Source organism: Homo sapiens, chromosome 9 (assembly GCF_000001405.40).
Source record: "Homo sapiens chromosome 9, GRCh38.p14 Primary Assembly".
Classification (NCBI taxonomy): Eukaryota; Metazoa; Chordata; class Mammalia; order Primates; family Hominidae; genus Homo; species Homo sapiens.
This window is the reverse complement of record NC_000009.12, coordinates 41,092,876-41,099,863: the sequence shown is the minus strand read 5'-3', so window position 1 is coordinate 41,099,863 and position 6,988 is coordinate 41,092,876.

The window sequence follows — 6,988 nt, the reverse complement described above, 5'->3', positions numbered from 1 at the left end:
TTTCAGGAAAAATTATCCCAAATGGAGTCTCTACTGTGCTCTGTTTATCAGATGTAAAGCTTAAAACAGTGTAAGAGTTTTTACAGAGTGTATTCATATCACACCAGTTTTGGGTCCATAGACAGGGGCTTTTTCTAGATCAAACCGTTCAATTGTCCTGTTGATCCTGGCCTAAAATCTGAGTGGATAAAAAATATTTTAGGAGAGATGAGATTCTAACCCTCAATGGCAAAAAGCAGGGCTGAGCCCTAAGCCCACGTTTTTACACGTATTTTACAATTGAATGTGTTGCACTACCGCTAGAACACTAGTTCTCAACCAGGGGTGATTTTGCTTTCCAGGGGACATTGGCAATGTCTGGAGACATTTTTTTTTCCATTTTCAAAAATTGTGGCAAAGCACATAACATAAAATTAGCCATTTGAACCATTTTCATGTGTATAGTTCAGTGGCACTAAGCACCTTCACACTGATGTGCAACCATCACCACCATCCATCCATAGAACTCTCTTCATTTTGCAAAACTGTAACTCTGTACCCATTAACACTAACTCGCCATTTCCCTCTTCTCCCAGCCCCTGACAACCATCATTTGACTTTCTGTCTCCATGATTTTGACTACTCTAGGTACCTCAAATAAGTGGAATCATACTGTTGAGGGATTTTTGATGGTCACAACTTGGGATGGGGTGCTGCTGGTGTCTAGTGGGTAAAGGCTAGGGAGGCCACTTAACATCCTGCAATGCACAGGATGGTCCCCACAAGAAAGCAATAACTAACCCCAAACGTCAATCCTACCAAAATTGAGAAACTCTGAGCTAGAAAAATCCCATGACTAATCTTACACCATGGAGTATCAGTCAATAGAGACTAGTTATGTTGTAATAAGAAACCACCTCCAAATTTCTGTGGTTTAAAACAACTTATATTTTTGCTCTAACATGGAGCATACTTAATCAGCAATCCAGGCTGGTGGGAGTTCCATCCTGACCTGGGCTTCTACGATGACTGAAGCAGAAAAAGGATAAGTGATAAATCGTGCACTGGCTTTTAAAGCTCCCATTGGAAGTGTCCAGGTCATTTTCGGTCACACTTTCTTGGCCAGATCAAATCACAGGTCCACATCTCACTTCAAAGGGAGGAAGGAAGTGCATTTTTACTCTAAGGAAATACAACCACCACACCTAGCAATTAAAAATAAACCTCATAGTGTTATCACCTGCTTGAAGTGCTGATATCAGAGCAAGCCTACCAGTAGGAGTGGTGCAGGCTGCAGGTTTTTTGTTTTGTTTTGTTTTGTTTTGTTTTTTGAGACTGCACTCCAGCCTTAGTCTGTCATGCAGGCTGGAGTACAGTGGTGTCATCAGAGCTTATTGCAGCCTTGACCTCCCCACACAAGCGATCCTCCCACTTCAGCCTCCTGAATAGTTGAGACTACAGGCCCATGCCACCACGCCCGGTTAATTTTTTGTATTTTTTTGTAGAGATGGGGTTTCACTATGTTGCCTAGACTGGTCTTGAACTCCTGGATGCAAGTGATCCACTTGCCTCGGCCTCCCAAAGTGCTGGGATTACAGGCGTGAGCCGCCATGCCTGGCCTAGAAGCTCATTCTTATTGGCCAGAAGCTAGAGAGTGATCTAAAGGCTCCAAGCCAGGCCAGACTGGTTTCAAGCCTTAGGGCTAGTGTATTAATGAATGAGGTTCGAGCTTCTATGGCATGGGAACTGAGGGGCACCACAACACTCAGCTTACTCAAGGGACCAATTCTAGCAGCCTTCAAAGGAGTCTGAAAAAGGTAGCCTTGAATTAGTTTCCGGGTGAAAAATATTTGTCCCAATTGAAGCAAGTACTACTAGTGACTGCCTCTGCTATGGAAGCAGGGGTTACCTGCTTACCTGTGAGCAACAGGATTTCTTGGGGTTGATTTTGCAGGAACATGTACCTCCATGTGGCCAAACAAGCAGGCTTGCTTAGATTTGCACCACAGGATATTAAAGTGGAAAGGAATCTTAAACATCTAATTGAGGGATGGCAAATTGGGTTCATTGTAAGGGTCACCTCTGACCCTTTGGTTGTGGCTGCTAGGAGCATTGGGTGGGAAGAATTCCATAGTTTTTTCCAGAGAGAGACAGCCACGCTTCATTAGAGAGTCTAGTGGGCATGGAAGGGAGGGGGTGAGTTGTTGTGCCTGTAACAGGATTTTGCCATCCCTAGTTCTAATCCAACATTTTGAGAGCTGAGGCTCAGCTCCATGAGTGATTTATAGAGGTCCTTCCTTTATTGCTTTTATGTCACCACATCTAGAATTAGGTCTTCTGCTTCCAAGAAAGTCAGCTGCCTCATTACCATGTAGCTTAGTTAGATTCCCCATTTCATCTAGAAAATAAACATTTATTGAGGGCTGGCCAAGTGCGGTGGCTCACGCCTGTAATCCCCGCATTTTGGGAGGCCAAGGTGGATGGATCATTTGAGGTCAGGAGTTCGAGACCAGCCTGGCCAACATGGTGAAACCCTGTTTCTACTAAAAATACAAAAATTAGCCAGAAATCCCTTGAACCCAGGAGACGGAGGTTGCAGCGAGCCAAGATCGCACCACTGCACTCCAGCCTGGGCGGAAGAGAGAGATTCCGTCTCAAAAAATAAAATAAATAAATAAATAAATTCACAAAAATATTTATTGAGGGCCCACTTGGTTTTTAGCACTGAAATAGGAGCCGAACATAGAGCAGTGAATGAATAGGCCAAGTCCATGCTCTTCTTGGCCTTACATTTTGGGGGAGGAGACAGATTAGTAATTATTAGGAGAATTATTAGTAATTATTAGGAGAAAGCAGGAAATTTCTGCTTTCATGGGTGGGATACCAGAAGGTAAATCATTATGAAAGGATATTTTGGGACAAGTTTCTATAGCATAGATGTATTTTAGGATGATTGGTGCTGTGTGTTGTGAGCACGGGATCTCTGAGGCAGTCAAAGGGCACCAGGAACCTCATCTCTTAAGATGTGCATGCACCGTAGGCTGCCGTTTGTGTCCCTCACTCTGGCCAAGCTCCCTTCTTCATCATGGCCTTTGCACTTGCTGTTCTCTGTCTGGGGAAGAATGCTCTTTCCCTAGAGATCCAAATGGCTCACTCCTTCAGTGCCTTCAAATCTCTGTCAAATATCACCTAAACAGAGAGGCTTTCCCTGGCCTCTAGAGGACAAAGTAGCACATTTTCTCACCCACTTACCCTGCTCATCCTTCTTTATAACACCCCTCACCACCTGCTGTATTATTTGTTTATCGTTCAGCTTTCTCTCTAAAATGGAAGATCTATGAGAACAAGAACCTGTCTGCTCATTGAGGTGTTACTCTAGAAAAATGTCTGGCCCATGGCAGGTGCTTAATCAACAATTTTTGAAGGAAAAGTGGAGGAAAAAAAGATAGGAGAAAGCAAACTCATGAAGAAGAGTGCTTGGGTGGGGTGGGAGGAGAAGAGGGCAATGGATCCAGGCCCTACAGGGATTCACTGTTCAAGCAGAAAGTCCAGGGAAAGCCACATGGCCTCCTTCAATCGGATGAGCTGGAGCTGCTGACATCCCCTGCAACCTGGGAGCCAGTGCATGCAATGCTCCAGCTGGGTCTAAGGACAGAAGGAGGCTAATGAACAGCCACCTTCGGAGCAACAGGGTCACTTCAGTCCTCCCTGTTTACTTCCAAGCTGCTGGGAGTCTTATGCACATTTCCTCTTCTCACTTGCCTCTTCACATCCCTAGCTGCCGCAGGAATTTATGGCTTAATTAAAGTGGGAAGCAGGGTTTATACATGTTTATATAAAGTTATATTTTCCTCCACCTCTTTGTTGGAAGAAAACTCAAATGTTAAAATTCTTAGGAGCCCAGGAGTTCGAGACCAGCCTGGGAAACATTGCAACCCCATCTCTACAAAGAATAAAAAAATTAGCTGGGAGTGGTGGTCCCAGCTACTTGGGAGGCTGAGGCAGGAGAATCATTTGAACCCAGGAGGTTGAGGCTGCAGTGAGCCATGTTAGTGTCATTGCACTCCAGCCTGGGTGACAGAGTGAGATCTTGTTTAAAAATAAAGAAAGAAAGAAACACCTAGAAAGGACACTAGAGATAAATCTAGTTCATGCTCCTTGTTTTCTATGGGAGGACACTGAGGTCCAGGGTCACACAACTCACAAATGGCCAGCCTACGGAAACCCTGTAAGAGGCAGAGTGTGAGGAAAAGGCAGGCACTTGTGATAACCCCACTGGTGGGCAGGAGCTAAGCCTCCATAGGTGGGGAAGGGAATTAACCCCAGGACACAGGCTCCAGTCTGGGGGCTTGAGATGCTCAGGGGACACCAGTTAGAACTAAGGCAGGAGGCCAAGGCAGAAGCTGTGCTCCTCTGCCTGGATGTATGAGGGCAGCAGAGGAAGAAGAGTTGGCAAAGCAGCCCAGAAACACATGAAGAGGAGGAGTGAATGTAAGTAGAGCATGCCAGAGATGGCAGATCAAGGCAGGGAGTTAAATTGAAGGAGGAGGTGGCCACGGCCAAGGGTGCACTGTGATTCAAAGTTACAGTTGGTTATGGGCTGAGGAAACAGCTTTCTGTTTCACTGCTGTGAGAGGCAACCAGGTTGCAAGGAAAGGAGGGGAAGAGGGAGGCGTTAACATGGAGGAGTGAATGTAGACAGAACCTTCCAGATGTTGGCTGAAGATAGAAAGGAGAGGGAGGAGGGGTTCTGGAGGGAGAAAGAAGTTAAAGAGTATTTTTTTATGTGGGGAGATATGGGAGTTTTGGGTTTTATTTTTGGCTTGTGAGAATGAGCTAATCTTGTATAAAGGGATTAAAGATTTTTTAAAAAATTTATCTCTGAGCCTTAGGTCTTTCAACTTTAAAACGAAGATAAAAAATCTATGTTTTTGGCTTATGAGAATTAAAATGTGAAAGCACATTACTCCAGTGCCTGGCACATTAAAAACACATAATACATGGTAGCTATTTTAAATATTTTATTATAAACTTATGTAGTGCTCATCTGGAGGCCTAGGAAAGTGTTATTGAAAGTATTTTAAATCTTAGTATCTTATATTTATCATTTATAGGGTATAGTAGATTAAGAAATACTTCACGTATTTTGAAAGATTGGGCTGGAAACATACCCGAAGAAGCATTCTTTTTATCTCTCATGTACATGTGGACATTATACATTTTAATTAAGTGTTATTATATGAGCCAAATTCCCTCCTCATGGGTGTTAGTAGGAGTTGACCTTGAAGGAGGGAGGATTTGGTTGTGGATTTATGACTCACATCTGCGAAAGGAGTAAGGGCGAATAAGAACAGGAAACTCTCTGATAAGCAATTTTACTATGTTTTCATTTTTATCTGAAACTCTGTAATCCAAGACTGGGGTAACTTTTCATATTTTTTAAAAATACTTTTTTATAGGCTGGAGTGATCTTGTGTAAGCAAGGATAAATCATAGACGTTAGAGAGACGTTTGTCTCTGTGCTGTTTGGTGCAAATTCCATGAAAAAGAGCCAAGGCAGGGGGTGGGGGTGGTTGTCAGGAAACCAAGGGATGAGATGTTTTTCTTTTTCAAAGATGACATCTGTGATGCCAACTAGTGAGCATGGGCGAACAGAGCGGAAAGGAATTCATTACAGTCCTAAAGAGGGATAAATGCATCTGGTGTCAGATTAACTCCAGCGAACAGCCTCACTCAGTCCTAAATACTGACTCAAAAGCATGTTGATTTCAGTGTGAGAAACAGATGTGTAAAGGTGACTTCTCATGAGGTAAAATATAAAGCAACATGCCTAGGTCTTAAAATCATGATGTTGAGTGCAACTATAAGAAAAAAATGGGCTTACTGATATAATGTTATTATGTAATTTAAAGCCACATTTGCATATCAAACAACCTTGCCTATTTCTACAGAGATAGTTGTTTTTTCTTTTTTTTTTTTCTTGTGACAGGGTCTCACTCTGTTGCCCAGCCTGGAGGGCAGTGGCGCCATCTCAGCTTACTGCAGTCTTGACCTCCCAGGCCCAAGTGATCCTCCCACCTCAGCCTCCCAAGTAGCTAGGATTACAGGCACAGGCCACCATACCTCGCTAAATTTTTTTTGTTTTTTATTTTTAGTAAAGATGAAATCTTACTATGTTGCTCAGGCTGATCTCAAACTCCTGGGCTCAAGTGATAGACCCACCTCCATCTCCCAAAGTGCTGAGATTACAGCCACCGCGCCCCCGGCCAAGATATAAAGTTTAAGGACACATATCAAACATACTAGAGAGGTTGCTGATGGGATAGGGAGGATGAGTGTGAGCATCACAGACGAGGGAAAAAGCAAAATGAGACAGCGGCTTTGCCCAGATGGACAATGAAAATGTGCTATGAGTTAAAGAGCATGATTTTTAAAAGGAGAGAAATCTTTTAGTCATTGGTCTTCTCTTTGTTCTGGCTTAATGAATCTGCTGCAAAGGCAAATAGCTTTCAGGCAAACTTGCTGCCCTAGTGGTAACATTGGCTTCAAGGACTCCTCGAGCGGTTTGGGATGGCTTCCTGAGGGTGACAAAGAGGAGCTGTGTTTTCAGCCAAATATACCAACCAGGGCCACTGCCTGCCACCAAACCCCAGCGGGCACCCCTACTTTGTGTTTATCTGTGGTGGCTACACTCGCCCACCTGGGTGGGAACCCCGAGAATGACTCCAAACTTTTCCAGGGACTGCATGCCAGGGTATTTTTACAATTTATGTGTAGACTTTGTTCGGGTGGAAAAGTTATTTTATGAAGACGAAACAAGCAATTGGGGTACCTACCTTATGGCATTTTTTACATTGAGAGTGTTAAAAATACCCCTCCCCTAACCAAAACCCTGACAAATAGAGCCAGGGAAGGCCATGCAAAAAAGGATTCTTGGGCTTGTATGCCTGATAACAAAAACTTATCACAGAAGACTGCAAAAAACACAATCTTGCACAAAGCCCATCGC